The 24,571-nt window shown below is 34.6% G+C and overlaps 1 protein-coding gene and 1 pseudogene across 21 annotated transcripts in view; both read left to right on the top strand.

Moving 5' to 3' along the window:
* EPS8 (EGFR pathway substrate 8, signaling adaptor) overlaps positions 1–24,571 on the top strand; it is a 169,255-nt gene that overhangs the window by 98,105 nt on the left and 46,579 nt on the right. For 17 of the 21 annotated variants that reach the window (NR_182221.1, NR_182223.1, NR_182222.1 and 14 more), the window contains 5 exons: positions 8,312–8,391; positions 9,982–10,058; positions 20,361–20,428; positions 21,459–21,620; positions 21,748–21,897. Coding sequence is in view for 18 of the 21 variants with exons in the window: in XM_024448878.2 (XP_024304646.1) it covers positions 8,312–8,391; positions 9,982–10,058; positions 20,361–20,428; positions 21,459–21,620; positions 21,748–21,897 (537 nt within the window). In the remaining 3 variants the exon portion in view is untranslated. Of the gene's footprint in view, positions 1–6,981; positions 7,116–8,311; positions 8,392–9,981; positions 10,059–20,360; positions 20,429–21,458; positions 21,625–21,747; positions 21,898–24,571 lie in introns of all 21 variants that reach the window. The other 4 variants (XM_047428496.1, NM_001413837.1, NM_001413835.1 and 1 more) reach the window with 4 other exon arrangements.
* Positions 19,474–19,577, top strand: RNU6-251P (RNA, U6 small nuclear 251, pseudogene; annotated as a pseudogene).

The raw sequence follows: 24,571 nt of genomic DNA, 5'->3' as shown, positions 1-24,571 counted from the left end.
CAGGCATAGTAAATCACTGTGCCCAGCCTCTCTTGCCTTTTTTGGTCTAGTCATTCTTTCAGGGAGATTTTATCCTCTAGATCCACCCCTAATCTAGTTGCCCTTGAACTTCACACTTTGCTGTCTTCTATTGCCTATAATGTGGTCTTTTCTTAAAGATGCTTTTTCTTTCCCCTAAAATTTCTTTATAAGCAGTGAAGCTTCAAGGAAAGTTTGTCCTAGCTTTTCTGTGAGTTGGATGAGGTGCTAGAGATTTGTTTTCTTAGTAGGATTACCTACTGACAATCTGGCTTGTTTTTTTTATATTCAGCCAAGTGTAGACAGTTAGTGGAACTGACTTTTTTGTTTGGTCTTGACTCTTCTTTATTGCATCACTTTCTAGCAGCCTATTAGGACTGCCTCTATTCTTGAAGATAAATGAAAAATACTATTTTGAAAAGAGTGCATTTTTATCTTTGTGGGCAAAATGTTAAGAGGCATAGGATAATAGGAAGAAGGAACAGTTAAGAATTGAGGGTTTTAACTTACCTGCTTAGTCGTGAACTTTTCATAGACATAAAGTTATACATTTTGCTCTTGATACAGTCTGATACCTAGAAAAGTATACAACGTATTCTGTTAGAAAGCAATTACATTCCCCCATATAATCATTCTGCTGGCCATTGGATCTGTAAAACCATGTATTACTAAAATAGAGCAGACAAATTGAAACAATGGATAATCCTTGATAAGATATAATACCTCTGTGTTCCCTTATCAAAACAATCAATGTTAGAATATTATGGCAGGCAGGAAGAGAGGAAGTTGAGATAAGAAATAGTGACTATCAATAAAATATATGAGAAGTAGTTTGGGGGTAGTGTAAGTATGTGCATTATAATACACTAGAAAGATTTAGTTAACCTTTAAAAAAATAGAATTCTTATGCTTTTTAAAGAGTCCCATGTGGTTTAACAATTAAGTTTTTACTTGTAGTAATATTCGGGAGATGTATTTATGATTTAGAGAAGTGGGATGAATCAGTACAGCAGTTGCCTAAAGATACCATTTTCCACTTCGTATGTTGTAAGCATTTATAAAGATATATTGTACACTTTAGAAAAGATTGATCCTCTTAAGGAGCTATACGGAAATGCAGTGAGTCACCTGCAGTATTTTGTTTGCTGCTTAATGTCCTTTGCTCTAGGTGATGCAGAGGAAGGTAATCATGTGGTGACAGGGTGGTTAAATATTAAAATATTATATCTCATCCTTGGGTTACAGCTCTTCTTGCTGTACCTGTAATGTTTTATGATTTACTATTTTTAGATGCCATTTAATACACCAGAATGAAATTTGAATTCAGGCGTTTCAGTCTCATTAAAGATGATATTACCAATGTTTCTCTTCTCCTGGTCCACCTCCTTCCCCAACTCCCAGCCTCTGCTAACTACCATCCTACTTTCTACTTCCGTGAATCCAACTTTTTTAGAGTCTGCGTATAAGTGAAATCTCTGTGCCTGGCTTATTTCACTTAACAATGGGTACACAGTTTCAGTTAGGAGAAATAAGTTCTGGTGACCAATTGCACAGCACAGTGACTATAGTTAATACTAATGTTTTGCGTATTTCAAAATAGCTAACAGAGAGGGTTTTAAATGTTCTTACCACAAAGAAATGATAAATATTTGAGGTGTTGGATATGCTAATTAGCCTGATTTAATCATTTCATAGTTATACATGTATCAAAGCACTACATTGTACACTATAAATATATACAATTATTATTTGTCAATTAAAAACAAAACAAAACTTTTAAAAAAGATGTTTTTAGAGTATGTTTTTCCATCTTCCCACCCAGCTGGTTTATGTCAGGCCCTGGTAGGTCTTTTTCTGTTTGCTTTTGTAAAGTATGTTGAGCTGTACTAATTTAGCATGTGGTGCTGTTATGGAAAAAGGATATTTAGCATTAAAAATATATTTAATCCTAGTTTTCTCAGTAAATACTCTTCCTTTCCAAAAACTAGCATTTTTAATACCTTATTTTAAGAAGAGTTGATTAGAATAAAGAATATAATTGCACATCCGAGCAAATAAAACTGAAAACTTTTGGCAAGCACACAGTGGTCAAACTATCACACAATGGTGTAACTTACTGAAAAAAAAAAAGGGATATAAGTCAGTCAGATCAGAGTTTGAGTTCTGCTTCTAATTTTAGCTTCTTCTGTTACTGAAACAAGAAAAGTTCCTTTGTCCCCCTCGCAGGGCATGCAATGTCGGTGTGGCTTGTTTCTTCAGTGCCCCGCTGCTCAGACCTCTAGGGGAGCATGCAGACTGGCAGGCTGTGAGGTTCCAATCCCACAGCAGTGTCTAGGAGTGAATGTTTACAGATGAAGCCCCCGTGGGCGAGTGTTACAGGGTGCTCTTTTAGTTTTGCTGTCTATAGACAGCTTGTGTTAACCAGCTCAATTAGATCCTCTACCTTATTGCAAGGACAGGGGGTTTTCTGTATCCTGGGGTTATTGCCTTGGCGTATGGGAAGAATCGGATCACACGTGGGCTTAGAGAATGAGTGCAGGGTTTTATTGAGTGGAGGTAGCTCTCAGCAGATGGGGGAGCCACAAGGGAGAATGGTTTTCCCCTGGAGTCCGGCTGCCCCTGCTAAACTCCAAATTCCGCGTCATTCTGCTGGTTAGTGGCCTGCAGCATGCTAGTGCCTGTTGGTGTGTTCCTCTGCCGATGTGCCCCTCTCAATGTCCAGCTGCTTATGTGCCTGCCTGCTAGGTTCTCAGGGTGTTTATAGGCACAAAATGGGGGCGTGGCAAGCCAGGCTGGTCTTGGGAAATGCAACATTTGGGCAGGAAAACAAAAATGCCTGTCCTCATCTAGGTCCATGGGGGTGGAGCCCTAACCAGTGACCCCGCCTTCCTCTACCCAGCACTTCCTTTCCCCACTTCTGTATTATTTAAAGGGACCACTCCCTTCCCTTCCGTATCATTACCACTTAGGCAAATGACTTAACCGCCTTGAGGCTGTCATCTCACCCATAAAATAGAGCCAATAACTAGCTGATAATGTTGTTTTAAGGATAAAGTGAGGTGATATTTGTAAAATGTCTTATGAACTGGGGGCTCATTAAATGTTTTCTTTCCCTTTCTCCTTTGTGTTCACTTCTGCCTATGATTTTACCTTAGATGCAAATAAGACATTACTTTTCAGTCATTCATGGTACTATGTGATTTTATTAAGCTTCAAAATACCACACAAATGGCAGTCTGTTTGTTTCAATTTCTTCATCTATAAAATGAGAATGAAGAATAGTACTTCCTTCAAAAACTAATGTCAAGATTAAGACAATAGAATGCATTTAGCATGATACCTGATGCAGAGTTAAAACTCAATAAATAGAAGTGATTCTTTTTAAAATTAGCATAGTTTCCCAAGTCAGTAAAATATCAAAACATTTTGAACTGAGATATTAGTAATTTCCATGTATAGTATAGCATCCAGTAGTACATGTGTGCTGATGATGTCATCATAGCAACTCAGGGAATAGACAAGAACTGGAGGGAAATATAATAGTAGTATTAGAATATGTCTATGCCTCTTTTCTTTATTAGCCCTTCCTATGAACACCATCACAATAGCAAACATAATTAGTGCTAAAGTAGTTCTTTCTAAAGTTGCATATTAAATTTTGTTATAAGTAGTTTTCTTCAGCCACTTGTTAACCAAACAACATTCTGATTTGATCATAGACTTTTCCCAAAATTATGTTCTGATTTATAAACAGCTTAAGAATTTTGTCATAAAGAAAGAGGAACTAAGTTAACTATTTTAAGTGATTTTATTGTGTTGACTTAAAGGCATAAAACTACTCCATTTACATTGATACTGGTGTTGAGAAAATACTGTTCTTCTATATGGTCTAGAAATTGTGATACCTTCACAGGCATTAACCACATTATTGTTACAAGAACTTAATATCCTTATTAGTTTTTTGAGTTTATTCACACATAAAAATTCTTTGTTAATTGATATTTGAAAAAATAGCATAGAAAAATACATGGTGCCGTCTTTACCAATGGTACTGGAAAGAGATATTAAAACGTGATTGCTCTAGAAGACATTGCAGGAGACAAAATGTGTGATGATTTAAGAGGTTTAAAGAAGATTTTTTTTTTAATGTTTGAAACAAAATCATTGTTAGACAATGTCACAAAGTATTGGTGGAAATTAAGTTTCACTGATCTTTTAGTGAAAATCCTAAGTAATGATAATACCCCCTCCCACTTGGTTGTAACTTAGACTGGGAGACATAAATTAAATTAAATTGAAACCTAGACATAGATGTTTCAATATCATATCCAAACACACAAAAACACACTTCTGTAGATAAAAAAATCTGTGATATTTTCTGAGAACACAAGTCATTTGAAGGACAGTTAAATATGCAGAGAGTTACTAATTATGTGGCAGCAAGATTGGGTAAGTAGTTTTCTAATATTGAGTCATGACTACATACTCATCTACCAATTTGAAAATTGATATGAGATGCAAGCAAGAGTAAAGAAAAGGAATCTAAAACTTATATTTGAGGATCTTAAAACCTTCTGATACAAATTTAATTTGCTGAGTTAACCTTATAGCCTTGTTTATTTCTTCTTAGTCATTTTTTATATATTCCATTTCCTTTCTTTTTGAAAATTATAGTGTGTTACATTTTTCATTCGCTTAACTTAGATCTTAAATTTATCATTTGTATCCTTCTAATTGCCAAAGAATTTTATTTTCTGTAGAAAATAAAGATAAAATTATAGTAACTACGACTTACTAAAAGTGTTTTCATAAGGAAATTGATGCTGTTACTTAAAATCAAATATAGCTGACCCTTGAGCAAATGCAGGGATTGGGGTGCTGACCCCCACTCAGTCAAAAATCTGTGTATAACTTTGACTCCTCTAAAACATATACTAATAGCCTACTGTCTACCTAAGATCATATAAATAGTTGATTAACGTATTTTGTATATGTATTATATATTCTAAAATAAAGTAAGCTAGAGAAAATACTTAAGAAGGAGAAAATATGTTCACTATTCATGAAATAGAAGTGGATCATCATGAAGGTCTTCATCCTTGTCTTCATGTTGAGTAGGCTGAGGGAGAAGAAGTGGAGGGGTCGGTTTTGCTGTCTCTGGGTGGCAGAGGTGGAAGAAAATTTGCTTGTAAGTGGACTCTGCAGTTCACCCTCCTCTTGTTCAGGAGCCAACTGTAGGTGGTAGCTATTATGATGGCTTTAGTGTATACTTTCAGCAGAATTATGTAGTTAGTGTGATTAACTGCATTTGTGAGTCATTAAACTTAAAAGCGATTAAAAAAACCTTTGTCTCTTTAGTTTTTAGGTTGCTTTAACAGTTTATAAAAATAAAAACACTTAATTTTTCAGTTAGAGTTGATCATTATTTTAAATTGTGTATATGGGTATAAACTGGGTATGTCTTAAAAGCCTAATGGAAAAAAAGACAAACATTTGTAATTGTTTCCTCCGCATGGTATACACTGCAATCGCTCAAATTGGGTATTTGAAAGCCTCCATATTTGCCACATGAGCCGCCGTGATAAGTGAAACTGTGATTGCCAAATGACAAAAAGTTTCTATATTTAAAATTCAATTTAGCAAATTGCCATTTTCTATCCCCTTTTCTAATGTTCTCTTATTCTAACAGATCACTATTTTAAAACAAAAGAGAGACCATGCATTTATTTGATTGTCATGAAGAATTAAACATGAAAAGATGAGATGCTGTGGCTATCACTTTTCATTAAAACCAGCTGCTGTGGTTTTAAAACGCAAACCAGATCAAAATCAGCACAAACCCTGGGGGTTTAATTTATATACTGAATGAACCAGCTTGCTTTGAAAGAACACTTCTTTTTTTTTCAGTTTTGGAAGAAACTTGCACATCTATCTCATTTCATCTTTACACTAGCACTGTGAGCTCGGAAGACGAAGAATTATCTCTATTTTACTGACGAGGACATTGAGACAGAGGCCAGAGGCTTAATTGACTTTCCTAGCCCAGTTAGTGCCAGGAATAGTGTTAAAATTCCAGACTATCTCTAGTTCCATAATGTTATTCCAGGCCTCTGTTCTGGCCCAAATTATAGAACGTAGCAATGATGTGCTGCAGTTGGATCCTTAGCCAATCGTGAAGAATTTAGGAATTTTGTAAGCTGCTGTTAAACCACTGACTGCTTGAAATTGGCCATGGTGGGAATATTTATACCATGGAAAACAATAAGCACTACAAATCAGGCCCTCTGCCTTGTCCCACCCTGAGAATTGGTTTACCAGCACACCACTGATTGTATCCAAGTGTAAACTGAAGAAGGAAAACAACAAAAATGGAGCACAGCAATGTAATATACATGTAATTTTATAAGTACATGCATGTATAGGGCAGAGGCCGATCTTTCTTTGCTTCTTAATTTATAAATGTGCTTTTAAGCAGTGGATAGGAAAGCTTAAATTAAAGTCCAGTGTTTTGAGGGCCATTCTTACCCATTTTTTTAAGAACTAGGTCAAGTCCCAGCCCTTCCAGAAAGTAATGACAGTCTTCATGGCCTTTTCCCTCTCCGAACTTCTAGCAGATTTAAAATAGAGCTACATATGTTGGGACTTAATTCCTTACTATTTGTTTTACATGAATTAACTTTGTTTCCCTAAGAATACAATAAACTCTTTGAAGAGTGGGACATGGATTTCCTTCTTTCTTTCTTTGAATAAATATTTAATGAACACCTATTCTGTGCCTGGTACCCTTCTTCTTATTTGAAAAGCAGAAGTCATCAAACAAAAATTCAAGCCTTTTGGGGGCTAAGAGTTTAGTGAAGAGTCAGGTATTAATTTAAGTAAAGGAAAAGTTATGAATGTGATAAATGCTTTGAAAAATTGTCTATAGTATGGAGAGTGTCTGATAGTGGGATTTTATCTATCCAGGACGGTCAGTAAAATCTTCCCCTGAGGACATTGTGATTGAACTGAGATCTGAAGAATGAGACAGAATTAACTCGAAGTGACCAGATCTTGAATATTATTTCTTTATGTAGGCTTTCTGTGCTCTTCCAATCAGAGTTAAGTTCTGTTATTATTTGCATCCGTGTTATGATGAATGTTCCCTTTGTAATGATAAGTACAACTTAAAATTTTACACTTATTCATTATCTGTTTCCCCCCACTAGACTGTTGGCCCTATAGTTGGGACCATGTCTGTTTGGTTCACTTTGGTGGTCCCAATATCCATCACAGGACCTGAAACTTAATAATCAATATTTGTTCATGCTTTCACCCCCTTGGCCCATAAAGCTGGGGTATGTCCTGCCTAACTCACAGTTATTGAGAGGACATAGTAATATAATATATTTGAAAAGACAAAATTCAGAAAACTAAGGCAGGATCCAGGATAGCTTAGTGACACAAACCCGGAGAGGACCAAATATCCAGGAGTGAAAAGAAACAAATTGGGTACAGCAATGTTATCTAGAAGAAAGAAAAGGCCATTCCATTTGGTAAAGAGGAAGTTTTACTAATTATTTGTCTTGTTTGAAGGAAGTTTGTTCAATCTGTAAAATAGATTTAAAAATGGTTTTTGAGGTTAAATATCTGATATTGATTTTTAAAGTTATTTTCTTGTGAAAAGTAAAAGAAGTGTGTAAATGAAAAGTTTCTTGAAAAAAGGATGTGTCCATGTGCATTTGTGCATTTGACAAAGCACATGTTGTCAAATGTGCTTTGAAGGAAAGAAGAAATAAAAGAAGGAAGGGAGGAAAGAAAACCACTTGTAGGCAAAAAGACTGCAAGGTAACTGTTACCTGGTTCTCTGTAAATGATAGGGCTCTGGGTGATACTTTTTGCTTTTGTACTTTTCTGTATTTCTCAACTTTTTAAATTAAATGAGTTTATATTACTTTTATAATGGAATAGTAAACAAAATAACATCTCATAAAATTGATAGTTGATTATGAGTTTGGGCAGAATGTAGAATTATGTCTATATGCTTTGAGAACTCAGAACTATATTTTAGATTTTTCTTTTGTTCACCTAAATCTGCTTATAATTTTAGCATATTAATTTTAAATGCCAGTTGGATCTTTGTTTAAATGTTCATCTATACCTCTGGGGCCTGAGCTCTTTGAGGGTGGAGATCTTTATCTTTGCATTTCTACTATAATTCCTGGCAGCAACACATATTTGTTGAATGAATAACTTTTGAAACTGAGATGTCTTGACCTTTTTATTGCCTTTAATCTATGTGTCTTTCTTTTTTTAGAACACACAAGTGAAAGACACAATGAATGGTCATATTTCTAATCATCCCAGTAGTTTTGGAATGTACCCATCTCAGATGAAGTAAGTTGAAAAGTTTATATTTAATATGTTTTGGGGGAATTTGATTTGGTGATTTTAATTGTTTTATATTTTTAGTGAAAAGATTACTTTCGTTGTGTAGTTCAGTAGTTCATTCCTCATTAATATGTAATATCTTTGTTACAACACATGTTATTAAAAGTTTACTATGTCTGATAAGAATAAGATGGTAAAGTAAATAGCCTTATGATAATGATATTGATCTCACACTTGGAAGATGTTTCTGTTTCATTCTAGTACTTTATGCATTCTTGCTTTTCATGGTTGAATATATAATCTACTTCAGAGCTTTGAATTTCTGTGGTGCATTCTGTTATTGTTATTTATAAAATATTGGCATTTGAGAAGGGTTAAATGTCATTTAGTATAAACTAATCAAGTTATTTACCACTGTGTAAAACTAGAAAAGATCAGGCAAACTAACAAAATATTTCCAGTGGGTCCAGGTATAACTTGAAATCATAACCCTGACTTAATTGGCCATTGTCTTATGTATTACGATTAATGTTATTATTTGACATTGGCCATTGTGGTATATATTTTACTCATCATTTTTTCATAACAGGTAATGTTTACTATTTTGAGAGAATAAAATAAAATGTAATTCTTAATCATGATGCTAAAAGCCCTCAATCTGCCACAGCTTCTCCAGTCATTCGTCTATTCTGGGAATGTTACATTAACTGCATCTTTCCACAGACACTGTGCTATTTCTTGAGTCAGTTCCACGTACCTTTTCCTCACTTGATTCTCTGCCTGTTTATAGAGCTTCTTTCCATTCATTTAGATTCTGCTTGTGTCAATGCGGTAGTAAAGTTTTCTTAGATATGTTGATGAAGAGTTAGTCCTTCTTTGATTTTACATGTCATATCTATTAGTTTTACCCAGATATCACATTCTATTATAATTATTTTATGTACTTATTTTATTGACAGCACCCTGTTTCCCCCTCCCATAGTCCTTATTCTTCTAGGTTTTGGGTCTTACAAAAATGTTCACTGAAAAAATGAGTAAAATTCAAATAAAGCACTATTTATTTCACATAACATATTAGTAGCAAGAGGTTAGATAGCCTCCTGCATAGCTGGGATTACAGGTGCCTGCCACCATGCCTAGCTAATTTTTTTTTTTTTTTTTTTTTTTTTTGAGACAGAGTCTCGCTCTGTCACCAGGCTGGAGTGCAATAGCGCGATCTTGGCTCACTGCAACCTCCACCTCCCGGGTTCATGCGATTCTCCTGCCTCAGCCTCCCGAGTAGCTGGGATTACAGGCATGCGCCACAACGCCCGGCTAATTTTGTATTTTCGGTAGAGATGGGGTTTCTCCATGTTGGTCAGGCTGGTCACGAACTCCTGACCTCAGGTGATGTGCCCACCTCGGCCTCCCAATGTGCTGGGATTATAGGCGTGAGCCACCGTGCCTGGCCATCAGTATGTTCTTTTAAACACGTGGTGATTATAGTGCATTGGAATTTTTATTTTCTAGTTGAGTTTCTGTTACTTATATTGGACTTTAACCCAACACAATGACCTTTTTATATTATTATTATTATTATTATTATTATTATTACAGTGGCTACGGATCATCACCTACCTTTTCCCAGACGGACAGAGAACATGGTTCAAAAACAAGTGCAAAGGCCCTTTATGGTAGGTTTGTTTATTTGATAGGGTATAATTTTGTTTCTAACCACTTTTTACAAATTACATTTTCAAACTCATGGTTTGAACCCACACATTTAATATTGTTTGGAATGAGGCAGTGATAGCTAAATAAGGATTATTTTAAAGAAGAGTTTTTATAAAAACTACCAAAGCCATGAACTCTGCTTGCTGTTATGCATTTTAGAACTACAGATGAAATGTATTGCAGTGCTTTCAAAAGTCCTATGCATGGTGCCAATGCCCTAGGTGGCTTTTCCCATTTACTACTTGTAATAATGTTTGTTGATCTTTGTGACTGATCTAGTTGGTGGTGGGCTGACAGGTGACAGAACGTTTTCCTGATAGCTCTTGAATTTTGGGGGGTATTATTACAGTATGTCTAATAGATGTTATATAATTTCTTTATGCACTGCAAAATGATTATGCTTTTTCCCTGATCTTACTTCCAGTGCCCTCTCTGGATTGTCTCACATATACATACTATTTTTTACACTTCAGATACAAAATAGAAGTCATAAGTAACAAGAAGTCGAGGACTCCTGAAGTTTGCCACATATGTTTAGGATGGCATTTATTTGTATAGGGTCTGGATGGCCACTTTTATTGTATAACAATAAAGAATGAGAATAATATTGTGGTTAATAGCAAAGACTCTGGAACCAGACTTCCTAGGTTCAAATTCAGTTATTTATTATCTGAGTGATCTTGGGCAAATTAATTTACCTGCGTGTGCCTAATTTTGCTTATCTGTGTAATGGGGGTATCTCACAGGGTTGAAATGAGCATTAAATAAGTTAGTACATGCAAAATACTTAGAACTGTTCTTGGCAAGTAGAAAACACTGTATGTGTTTGCTATTATTATTGTTGATATTATCGATATTATGTGCTATAGGAACCAACAGCATTTTCTAAATTGTGAAATTCTTTTTTTACATTATCTAGATCTGCAACTTCTTGGCTGTTGTAAGAATAAACAATTCTAAGGTTTTGTGATTGTTTTTCTACCTATGTTAGTGAATTGGCATTATCACTGAAATCAGACATTCATAAAATGGATTTAATACCATACATGCCTATACTTTTTATAGCCTTATTAATCTGATTGTTGTTGGTTTCAGTTTATTAAGTATTGTGACATTATTACCATGGTCTAATAGTTATGAATTGTAGATCTAGAGAATGTATTCAATAAATATTTTGTCATTAATATGTGTACAGAACAGGACCAAAAATATATGATCCCTGACTTTAAGGGACTTAAAGTCTGGAGAATAACTTGAAGATAACAGAAAAAGATTTTTTGGATAAGAATAAAATAATTCAGTCTTTCATTTCTAGACAGATATTTATTAAGTGCAGTATTTATTAAGTATGCTATGCCATGATCTTCATAGTCTTTATTTCTATGTGCTTTCATTCATTTCAAAGATGACTAAGAGAAGGCTGTTGCCTATGTGCCATTTTGGTGCAATAGACTAGTAAACACATTGTTATAATAAAGGGCTAAATGTGCTTAGATAGTAGTGTGTAGGAGGTGCACTGGTGAGGGTTGATCAGAAAGGATTTAATAGAGGAATTGAGCCTTGAGCTGAGCTGTGAAAGTTATATTGTGTTCTTCAGCATTTCAGGGGTCGGAGGATGCTACAGACAGTATGAAACCCTTTTAAGCAGGACTATCAATGCTGTGAAGGTGGCCCATATTTGTCTTGTTCACTTCAGGATTCCCTGTGCTTACTGGCATAGTGGCTAGTATATAATTTATGCTCAGAAAATACTTGCAGAATGAGTGTAATGAATTAATCAGATGCAAGCAATTTGGTGTTAACTGGAGAGTGCATAGTGGTGCATTGGGAAATAAGACTGAAAAAATGAACGTAGACCACATTGGGAAGAATTATACTAAGGAATTTAGGCATTGTTTACAATGAATGAGCAGCCTTTGATGTTTTTTACTCAGGATAGTAATAGGTCAGATTTGTTCTGGCTCACTCTGGTAGTAATATTGAGGATGAATTTGATGAATATGGATGGAAATAAGTGAATCAGAGATTTAAGTAATATGGCAAATTAGACACCTAATAGTAGCCTAAAGACTTTTAATAAGGAGAAAGAGTATTAATCCTGTCAGAAATACCACAGATCTAAAATCTAATTTCAGAGAGCTAAGAAAGAAATAAGAATAGAAAATAGAACTCACCTGTAAATTTTAATGTTTATGTTGTATTAGAAGCAACTTTGTAAAATCTTAGATCCAAGGAATGAAAAATCTTACTTTTTTTTTTTTTTTTTTTTTTGGAGACAGAGTCTCACTCTGTTGCCCAAGCTAGAGTGCATTGGTGCAATCTCGGCTCACTGCAGCCTCCGCCTCCAGGGTTCAAGCGATTCTCTTGCCTCAGCCTCCAGAGTAGCAGGGACTATAGGTGCATGCCACCACGCCCAGCTAATTTTTTCATTTTTAGTAGAGACAGGGTTGCTTACACCTGTGATCCCAGCACTTTGGGAGGCCAAGGCAGATGGATTACCTCAGGTCAGGAGTTTGAGACCAGCCTAGAAAATCTTTAGCTTTTAAGCAGTTAATTTTTATTTTCCCCCTTTTACATATAAAGCAAAGTGAGGCCCCCTTTTCAAGTTAGATGATTATCAAAGTCACATAACTTTAAACTTGATACCACTGTAACAATTTTGTATACTGTAATGAAAATGAGCAGTGTATAGGTACAATGAGATAGAAATAAATGGATTGAAAGGGGCAAATCCAAGAAGCATTTATAGGGAAGAGAGAAGTCTTAGCAATGGATTGGGCTTAGAAGTAAGATGGCTTTAAATTGCAGATGTGGTTTCTTTCCTCTTTGTTTCTAATACCCACCACTGTCTCTCAACACACTGCACAAAGACATACACACAGTACCTTCCCTCTGAGAGTTCTCAGAAAATGCCTATGGAATGAATGGACAGATGGATGGATGACAAGGGAGAAATATGTTCATGTTTTGAAGATAGCTTTGCAATAAACAGATTCTAGTTGAAGTTTTTTTTTAGGTAGCTTTGGGAGTGTTTAGCATCCCAGTCTGCATAGTTTTAACTTATGTATAGCATCTGTTATCACATGCTAGAAGTATGCATGATATAACAACATGGAAAAGAGACAGGCTTGAGATCCGGCCACATGGGAAAAAGCAGCCCTAAATATTCAGAAGGGAGATGAATCTGAATGATTTGGTGTAAAGGTAAGGAATGCAGCCCCCGAGTTTCACAGCGCATAAGCTAATGTGCACACACATGATCCTTTGTCACCAAGAAGAGATTATATGTATCTTCAAAACATGAACATATTTCTCCCTTGTCATTCATCCATCTGTCCATTCATTCCACAGGCATTTTCTGAGAACTCTCAGAGGGAGGGCACTATGTGTGTGTTTTGTGTGGTGTGTTGAGAGACAGTGGTGGGTATTAGACACAAAGAAGAAAGAAACCACATCTGCAACTTAAACAGTGTGTGCTGGCAGTGTCTCTTCTTAACTGGAAAGTTAGTAAAGAAGAGATTTATGATATAATTTGTTTTCTCACAGTTGATGCATCTTATGTAAAATTTATCCTTTTACAATTTTAAACGAGTTGAAATCATGTTCCAAGAATTAATTTGCCTTCATGGGTGGTACATGAACATCTTTGTAATAGGAGGATACTGTTTTGTGCACTGGAACATGAATGTTCACACTGTTTTTTACGCACTGACCACAGTCTAGATACTCTGTCTGAAGTTTCATGCAGAGTTTTTCATGAGAACACTTTTCAGGTCTGACACTATAGTGGGCCTCCTGGGTTGCTTCTACTGAATGTGCTCGGAAAGGCAGCAGGGGTTTTGGAGGCCAGAGGATCTGAATCATGGTACTGCTACCAAATGGCTGCTGTCTTTCACAAATGATTGGCCCCAGTTTCCTCATTTATAAAATAAAAATGATAATAATTCTGTGGTAAGTTTATATGAGAAAACAGAAGTAATGACGCCATCATGGGAATGGGGAGTGGTACTGGAGAGTCACTTTCTGTCCTGGGTCCTCAGATTCATCAAGATTCTCAAATGTAATATTTTGATATTACCTCCAAATGATGTTAGACAATTAATTATAGTGATATTTTGACAGAATCAAGAGGTGACTTTCATTATATATTTTAAAACTTATATTCCATATGTCACTCCCTATAATGCTCTAGAAATATTTTTTATAAGTGGTATAATTGTATTGTGAACTATGCTTGTATATGACAATAAATTTGCTTATTTGAGGACATATTAATTTATTCAAGGAAAATGGTGAAAATATGCTGCCATTTTAATAACTTGATTTTGCCATTTTTAAATTACCATACAAGAAATTTCTGAGCCAGCATGTGAAAGACTCTGCATCATTATTGTCACTGACACCGTAACACTTACTTAGGAAGATAAATATTAATTTCTCTCTCCTCCAGTTATAACAGTAACATTTTACTTAGCTACTGTTATCAGAATACTGGAAATTTTATATTTTTTTCCAACTAGGCTGTTTGTCAAAGCCTTTAAGCACTAAAATTTAAAATTGTTTTTAAGGGAAATAATTGTAAAGTATATTAAATATTCCCTTCGCTTGGGTGTGGCAGCTGTAATCTCTTCTTGGGGACAAAGGATCATGCATATGCACATTAGCTTATGCACTGTGAAACTCAGGGACTGCACTCCTTACCTTTACACCAAATCATTCAGATTCATCTCCTTTTTGAATATTTAGGGCTGCTTTTTCCATGTGACTGGGTCTCAAGCCTGTCCCTTTTCCATGTTGTTATAACACGTGAGCTTCTAGCATGGCTTCTGGTATCTGTAGGCTGGGAAACTAGATAAAAAATGTTCTTAGTGAATAGGTTCTAAGTGGGGACTTGAGAGTCTTTTTTTTTTTTTTTTTTTTTTTTTTGAGATGGAGTCTTGCCCTGTCGCCCAGGCTGGAGTGCAGTGGCGCAATCTCGGCTCACTCCTGGGTTCACGCCATTCTCCTGTCTCAGCCTCCTGAGTAGCTGGGACTACAGGCGCCCGCCACCACGCCTGGCTAATTTTTTTGTATTTTTAATAGAGACGGGGTTTCACCGTGTTAGCCAGGATGGTCTCGATCTCCTGACCTTGAGATCTGCCCGCCTCCGTCTCCCAAAGTGCTGGGATTACAGGCGTGAGCCACCACGCCCAGCCGAGAGAGTCTTTTCCACTAGAGTCTGTATGTTAAAATATGCACGTGTTAATGTATAGACATGGTGGCATCTCTAACAAACGCTCAGAGGACTTCATTTATTTAAGTGTGGGTATTATTCTATGTTCTGAATAGATAGACTTTCCAGAAAGCTAACTTCTCTTTAAATTAGATATTGCTTAATTTGGAATGTGATCATTTCATAAATTACCAACTGCTTAAAGTCATTTTATCTCTAGAAAACTCATTTCATTGAATTACCAATTAGTAATATTTTGTTGTCATTACCAACACCTACAGTTAACTTTGAGATTTTATTATTGGGAGGACAAATAATATTGGGTCAGTATGATAGAAAGGTACTCTTTTAAGTCTCATTTTATTTTTATTTTTTGAGATAGGGTCTCGCTCTGTTGCCCAGGCTGGAGTGCCGTGGCACAGTCTCAGCTGACTGCAATCTCCACATCCTAGTTCAAGTAATTCTCCTGCCTCAGCCTCCTGAGTAGCTGAGATTATAGGCGTGTGCCACCACACCTGGCTAATTTTGGTATTTTTAGTGGAGACAGCCTTTCGCCATGTTGGCCAGGCTGGTCTTGAACTCCTGACCTCAAGTGATCTGCCTGCCTGGGCCTCCCAAGTACTGGGATTACAGGTGTGAGCCACCATGCCTGGCCTTAAGTCTTATTTTAACCTTAAGTTTAAACTGCTCTGTGATGTTAACAAGTAGGAAAATATATTTCTGTTTTTCTATCTTTGTATTTTCTTCTCAAGGAGGTGTTGGTAAGAATTGAGTATAAGTAACCTATAAACTGCATGGTGAATTTCTGTATAATTGGGTTTACTATAAACTTTAGTTCTACACAGTGCTTGATTCAACTCTTTTGTAGCAGTGTTCCTGAATTTTTCTTAACACATATCCATTCCATATGTTGTCCTTTTCATACCTAGCTTTCTTTCTCTTCTTGTCTATCTCCTGATCTTGGTTTGGAGCTAGTCTCTCTGTTTAATTTTTATAATTAAAGCCCAAGCAATTTTTTACACATTCAAGTAGTACTTAAGAGTTAAAACCTGTTTCTCTTTTGCCCATCCTTATTTACAGTGTGTATTTTACTTAAAGAAAACATTGAAATCTTTTTTTTTAACAGAACAAATTTTTTTTTGAAATTCTTAAGATGTAAATGGCTTCTAATTCATTAAATAGTATCAGGAAATTGAGCTAAATGTTTGAGTCAAAAGTTCAGCTTGATAGAATGTGGCAGAACAGTTGACTCAAAAAGACAGTTCGGCAGTTTTCCCAACTTAGCTGAAAATTTTAAAAGTCCTTTTTACCTCATGGAATCAGCCATTTTAATAATTTGTTGAACAGGCCAATAAAATTAGTTCTTAATGTAGTTTTAAAGAAATGATTTTATTTTTCATAATGGTATGTTGGTTCGGATACTCATTTGTCAAGCTGTGATTGTAGTTGCCTGATATTGAGAGCTTGTAATTATCACTCAGTGCTCCTCACTGATTCCCATTAAGCACCTCTCCCCTATGGAATAGATATACTTAGACACTAAGCTAGTGGGAAAGGAATTCTCCCTTACTGTGGTTGAAAGTTTTTGTAAGTATAAAGTAATATGAGTTCTAGCCCATTGTTTTATTTAGAGAGAGGAATACTCAGCAGCTGCTTTTATGTTACTTTTTTCTTGTTAATGGCCAAATCCTTACTCTCTAAGGAACATTTTTGTTTTTAGAGAAAGAGAAAAAAAATTCTAAATATTAGCTGTATCTTTGAATATTAGCCGTTTCAAATGTTATATTATGCATAAACAGCAATGCATGTGAAAGGGAATTAAGTGTAAATACCAACACCTGGATGCTTTTTATACTTGTAGTTCAACTAATTAACAAATTAAATGAAACCTAAATTTAGTATTTCTGATCTGGGAGTTGAATATCAATTTTTGCAATAGTGTATGATAAAATTGTATGTAAATATTTTTCATCGTTGGTTACTGAATTCATGTAATTCTGTCTGTTTGGAGTTGTACATTCTGGACCATGACATAAAAGCTAATAGACAAAATAGTGAAACACAACCAGTGGTTCTATAGCCAAGTAAGTTTCATCCTACCTCTAATTGATTCTGAGCGAGAAAGAGAGGCAGGGGCCAGAATAGGAGGGGAAATAGACTTAGTCTTATGTTAGGAGTTGAGCAGCTTGTACTACTAGAAACCTAAAACCCTACTGCCATGTTTATTCATGAATTTATTATTTAATATACCATTTGACGATATTTACATTCTTAATTTGGAAAGGAAAATGTTCTGCTTGAAGAGATAGTATATAGTAGATGAGTTGCACACTGTTTTATAAAGTTCATTCCAACATGCAGCCAAGGATGAGAACCACTGTTAGCAAAAGTGGTGAATTTCATTAGAGGATTCATCTTGAGTAGTGTTGAGAGATTTTAGTTAGGCTTTTTATACTGTTTTAAGGCTTTGGTGAGATTTCTAGCTTAGGAGCCTAATTACTATTTATACCAGTTCTTGTGAATACATGTGATTCTCATAAAAAAGAAATGTATTATAATTGCCTTTTAGGAAATGTCTTTCAAAATTGCCTATTAAAATGTTAATATTAACCTTTATGGATTGACTTAAAAATCACTGGAACTACTAGTTTATTTATAAGTCCATTTATGGCATTTATACATTTTTAGGATCTTTAAAAGGTAGTTTCTTATACAACTTATTTATTGTACAACATAGAGAAAGCAGCTTAGGAATTCCTAAAGTGGATTCTTAATTTGGAATATTAGAAATGACACCATATCTTCTAGGCACTCAGAGTGATCGGTTAATGTCATACTGTTTAAAATGCTATCAGATAGTTTTTCTTCTCATTTCTGTAAATTATGTTTCTGTGGGATTGGGAAACTATGGGTTAGGAAATCAAGAGGTCAGGGATAAATTCTTAATACTTCATAATGAGAATATCTAAATAGAAACACACAGTATTTCAGATCTTCAACTGTTGTATTTGCCAATAAATTACCTGAAAGACAAAGCATTTGAACATCCAGGAGCTGCCATATCATGACTGGGTGTCATGGCAACCACTGCCATTTCTTTTCTGTCCTAAGGTCAGATCAAAGCAAGCCGAGCCCTCCTGCTCTGAATCTATCGTGGACAGTTGTGTTAGAATATGGTGAACCAGTGACTCTGAAATAGTGATTATTTCTAGATGTGGTTTTGTGAAATATATTCCTGAATTATATATTGTATTACAAGAGTCATAACGGCTGTCACAGGGACAATTATCGATGTGTTAATATCTCACACTGATTAATCCTCAACAACTAATCAGAAAAATCACAGTCGCTCACTTTTTAAAAATATGTAGAATACAGTCATGTAAGTGAAGGTTTATGTTTTGTTATATTGGGAGAGAAAATTTTAGGTGAAACCAGATCTTTCTTTTTGATGACATTATTTTGGTAGGACCAGATGGATCATACTTCCTCAGGTCATCATCCAAACAAAAAAAGAAAGGTAGCACAGAGTGAATTTTGTAGTGCATCTGTTTTTATTAAGTAATTTTAATGCTGCAAAAGCAAAAATGGAGTGTATTGGAATATCAGAGTAATATTGATACAAGGACATGGAGATTTTAATCTAAATTTTAAAAGTAAATATAAATGAAATTCATATGTGTTGTAAAATGAAAATTTATTAAGTTTTCTTAAAATTCTGTGTTAATGTTCTGAGTCTGCATATGTATATATGCACTTTATATTTTTGTACTTGCTCAGCTTTTATGTTCAGCAGAACTTTCCAAACAACTTATCTATTATAGAATATCTATACTAACTAAAAGAAATAGGTTTACATTTACAAAAAAATAGGTTGTTGGGAAAGCTAAGGTATATCTATATGTCAGAATGTTAATGGCTTAAAGGCCTTTAGGTTTGACCTTGTTTAATCCTTTTATTTTACAGTAAGGGTGCTGAGGCCCAGGGTATTAAGTTTCTTGCCCAAATTTAGTTTCCTACTTAGTGACAGAGCCGAAGCTGGAACAATAAATCTTATAATTCCCTCTCAGAGTTATTTTTCATCATAGCATTCTGTTTAGAAGAAATAGGGCAACTCTGAATTTACAAATAAGCAAGTTGCTTGATTAGAAAAGTAACAAATAGTGCTCACTTTGGCAGCACATATACTAAAATTGGAATGATACAGAGATTAGCATGACCCCTGTGCAGAGATGGCACTCAAATTCATGAAGTGTTCCATATTTTAAAAAACAATACAAATTTTAAAAAGAGAGTAACAAATACCAAATATTGCCGACATACATTTTATATTTTAATGTTATTTTTTTGGTTTTGCAGCATTTCAGAAAAGAAAATTAAAGGTTTCTTTTTGCTTTTTAAGTAGTTTGGTGCAATAACTTTCTACCTGACTTTCTTGTTTTTCCTATCAGCTTATATTTATAATTCTAAGTATCACATTTGTGTGTTTTGTAGATGTGTGAAAACTGTTAATATTTAATGGCAAGCCATGTGATTGAATCATGTTTTAAATCTCCTCTAACACTATCCCAATTTGGATATTGCAAAAGGAGATGTTCCTTGTAATGCCTATTATTTTAATAATGTAGTCTAACTCATATAATACAGTATCTATGACAATATTTGCAATTACATTTTGATATCAGTGCAGTAACAGATGAAATTTATAAGCCAGTTGTAATTGACTTGTCAAACAGTAGGTCCCTGACTGATAAATAAAACCTTTAGATGAAATAACTTTTTTTCTTATAATATTTATACTCTTGTTAACCTTTGGAATTCTAAAAATGGATAGTGGATCAAATTGTTCTTGCCTATTATTTAGACTTTCTTGTGGTTTTTAGATTTACTGCGAATAATGAGTGTTTTCAGATACACCACACAATGGCAACTTGTCAGCTACTGTATTTATATGTGAGATAGACTAGTTTTAGAGATAGCCACATGATACCAACATATGAACTTCAGTCTATTAGGGGACAAATCATGGCTTTTTCAATTTCTCTTTCAGAACAAAGGAAGAATTATGCACGGGACAGTGTCAGCAGTGTGTCAGATATATCTCAATACCGTGTTGAAGTAAGATGCTTTGGTGTTTGCTAGTATTTAGAGTGACCCTTGAGGAACATAAAAATTGGAAGTTAAATCAGAATTCTGTTTTATTTCATTCTTATGATGTATTTTAAGTTGCATTGACCTTTTTGTTTAGATTTTTTAAAACAGATATTACATATAAAGTATCTTGTTAGTCTGTGGTCTATTTTCATAAAGAATGATTTAAAATCATAACTACTATCCATTTATCCTTGCCAGTCTTATTTCACTTATAATAGAATAATGGCTTTTACTTTGTACTATAGAATCTTCTTGAAATTAAGCCTTTGCTAGTTTCAGTGAGCAATTTAGTTTTTAGTTTAACTAAAGTTATTGCCAGTTCTAGTTAAATAATGGTTCTTTTTTAGTTTTTGCCCTCTTTTACGATATTTGCTCTTGATTGGAATTTATCTGGTTGACCTGTGCTTATAATAGAAAATATTTAAGCAGGGAAGTAATTTTTAAATTGCTCTTATTTTCAGTTTTCTACCTATGTCAAGCATGCTTAATCAAATTTAAACAGTTTTGTTTCAGTAAGTGGTTTTAGTGGATTGAATAGTTTGACAGTTCCTATAGACTAGAATTGTGCTGTTGCTACAATCAGTGTCCATAGTTTTGAAGCTCCCATACAGATAGCCTGCTGTTTAAATGCTGCTATGTTCAGCATTTAAATAACCATAATAGAGTGTCAAATAGGGGAAAGTTTATTTTAAGAGAATATTATTTAAGCTGTTAAGAATTTGTTTTAATGTCATGTTTATGTAGTTCAACATGGCTCCGTATGAAACAGATTTAGGTATCTTATGAGTCAAAACACCATTTCTTCTATTCAAAAAAAACCTTGGTTGGCTTTATTCTCTCATTAAAATAGTCATGAAGTTTTAAGAGTACTTTGTGTTTGTCGTTCTCTGCTAGCTGACCTCAGGTTATTTGATTTTCTTTTGGAAAATGTATACTAAGAGGTTGTATGTGTTTGTATGTGTTATAAATCTTTTTCCTTTTTGCCAATTGTAAGCACTTGACTACCTTTGTCCTGGATCGGAAAGATGCTATGATCACTGTTGATGATGGAATAAGGAAATTGAAATTGCTTGATGCCAAGGGCAAAGTGTGGACTCAAGATATGATTCTTCAAGTGGATGACAGAGCTGTGAGCCTGATTGATTTAGAATCAAAGGCAAGTGTGTAAAATTTATACTATTTTATTTTCAAGAAACTCCACAAATATTAATGTTTACAATCATTTCAGATTGTTTGAAAATGGATGGAAGTTTGACAAAATAAAATGTTCACTTTATTTATAGAATGAACTGGAGAATTTTCCTTTAAACACAATCCAGCACTGCCAAGCTGTGATGCATTCATGCAGCTATGATTCAGTTCTTGCACTGGTGTGCAAAGAGCCAACCCAGAACAAGCCAGATCTTCATCTCTTCCAGTGTGATGAGGTTAAGGTAAAAGAATGGTGAAATTTTTGTTTCTTCTTTAAGCAGATTGTCTGGGAGCTTTTGAATTACCTATTTTGATAATATATCTGCATATTAGTTACTAGATTTTTAGTTTCTGAGCATCTCGTAAGGAAAACAAATACCTTAGTATCTTCTCTAGGATTTCCATGGCAAGTAAATAAAGAAATTAGGGTGATGTTAATCAAATCAGTAGTTCACACTTGTAATCCCAGTGCTTTGGGAGGCCAAGGCTGTAAGATGGCTTGAGGCCAGGGGTTTGGGCCCAGCCTGGACAACATGGCAAGACCCAGTCTCTACTAAAAAGGTTTTAAAAATTAGCTAGATGTGGTTGTACACGCTTGTAGTCTCAGCTACTCAGTTGGCTAAGGGAGGAAGATCTCTTGAGCCAGGAGTTGGAGATTACAGTGAGCTATAATCACCCCTCTGCACTCCAGCCTGGGCAACAGATTGAGATTGTGTCTCTTAAAAATAAGATGCATTCTGTTTATTTTTTTAAAGTGTAGATAATATATTAAATTCACATCAAATGCCTTAAACTTATAATTAAAAATTGATTGTTCAGAAATCTTGCTTTGTGGACAGTAAATAATCATGTAATTTGAATTTATTCTGCACTAATGACATAGCATGGATTACTGCAATGAAGTACTTAGACATTTCCCACGATATTGATTTAAAGTTCACCATTTAATTATGTGACTTGATTCATTGCTCAGGATTTGTAATTCCCAGATGATATGTGAAAATAGTTGAGCCAGTAATAACAGGCTATATCCTGAAAGTTTCTATTTCAAAGTACAGTGTAATTTCAAATGATTATAATTTGTGATGCTTTATTGGACCTTAGAAGTTATCTTCAACCTTGAATGTGTTTATTTCCTCAGTTGTTTTCTTTAAAAGAGAAATCATTTTGTGTTAATTGGTACTTTGCCAAAGCAGTGATTTAACATTTTGATGATATATTATAAAATATCCATGTAATTTTATTTTATAAAGAAACTCTAGGAGATTAGCACAGTTACTTGATCTTTTCTGTGTTTTTTGACATTTAAAGATGATAGATAAAGTAAGATTGACTGTAAACTGTATTTTATAATTTTCTTCTAATTTCAATTTACGTCATGGATGACTTTCTAAAAACCTTCTTCTAAAAGAACTGGCATTTAGGTAATTTGTGTAAGTGATATTCATCAGATTTTTGTATAGTGCCTTTTGAAAGTCATAGTATATTATAATTTTTGTAAGGTTAGATATATTCAGTCAATAAATATTAAAGGGAATATTTTGCTTTAAAAATATAGTGAAATTTAATTCAAACATTTTTATAAACCAGAGGCCTAAGTTGAAAAACATTTCAAATTTGATGTTTGTATCTGTGTTCTAAAAAGCCCCCCCCGGGAGCTAAAAGTTACTATGCTGTGAAAAGTTTCTGGATTTTAGGTTTGGGAACAAATGGCTTGCTTTACTTGATATGGAATGGTAATGATAATGGATTCAAAATGTATTTACTGAATATAGTTTTGTCCTAACCCCAAAAGCTCACATACCACGAAGCACTGTATGCATTTACTCATTAGTTTCATACTCTGCATATGAGACATTTTTCGCTTGGCTGGTTAAAAATATAGAGGCAATGAAAAACGCAGTTTCTTTTATATGGCTCATTGTGCAATATTGCTTTTGATTTTTAAAGTTTCTTTATTATAGGACTTCATGCAATGCTCCTGCCCACCTTTGCAGTAAAATTTTTCTTAGAAATATAATAGCCCCAGTATAAGAAGTTGAAGATTCCTAGGCATCTTCAGTTTTCATTTTGGGTTTTTTTAAATAATTATTTTTAATTAAATATCTTTTCATCTTCAGTTTTAGTATCCTATGTAACAGAAAGCCTTTGACACGATATTTGTAATGTCTTATTGAAACTAAATGCTCTTAGGAAGTCACACTGGACTGGGATGCATTGGCCTCTCATTTAACTAGCAATGTGACCTTGGCCAGGCCCTTTTATACAAGTACTCCTCAGTTTTATTAATTAGAAGGAACTGATGAGATGCTCTTTTAAATATCCCATCATTTCTAAAGTTTTATGATTATCGATGCTTACTGTAAAAGAAATACAACATACATATTTGAGAAAACATTACAGAGAACAGGGAGGCCCAAACATAGATGGTGCATCTCATCAACATTCTAATATAGAGTAATGATCACTGGCTCTAAACAAACTTTGCAACCAAACAGAAACTTCGTATCTGCTAATCTCACGTTGCTCCCCAAGAAAAATCTAACTGAATGTTCTGGAAAAGTAGTGGAAAAGTTAATTGTTTGCAGAAAGTTAACTTTTACCTGAAGTGACAAAATAAAGTGGTTACCCAAAGGGGTAAAACCTAGCGTTGGAGTTTATCTTATGGGTGTAGTAGATTTGCCTTAAACTCAAAGATTTGTTTTGCTGGGTTAATGGGTGTCCAGTGGATCTTGAGGATGAGAAAGGGAAGGAACTCTGTTCTATGTGTGGGAGCCTCTAACCCCTTAATTTCTACCCAATTAGAGATTTTTACTCAGTTTCATTTTTAGCGTGTACATATCCTTTCTATCATTGCCTTTATTCAAGGATAGTTTCCCTTTAAGATAATCATTAAAAATTTCTTCAGTTTTTAAA

The sequence above is a fragment of the Homo sapiens genome, chromosome 12 (genome assembly GCF_000001405.40).
Source record: "Homo sapiens chromosome 12, GRCh38.p14 Primary Assembly".
NCBI classification, from domain to species: Eukaryota; Metazoa; Chordata; class Mammalia; order Primates; family Hominidae; genus Homo; species Homo sapiens.
Note: the sequence above shows the minus strand (reverse complement) of the source record. Positions and strands in the feature narration are given on the sequence as shown.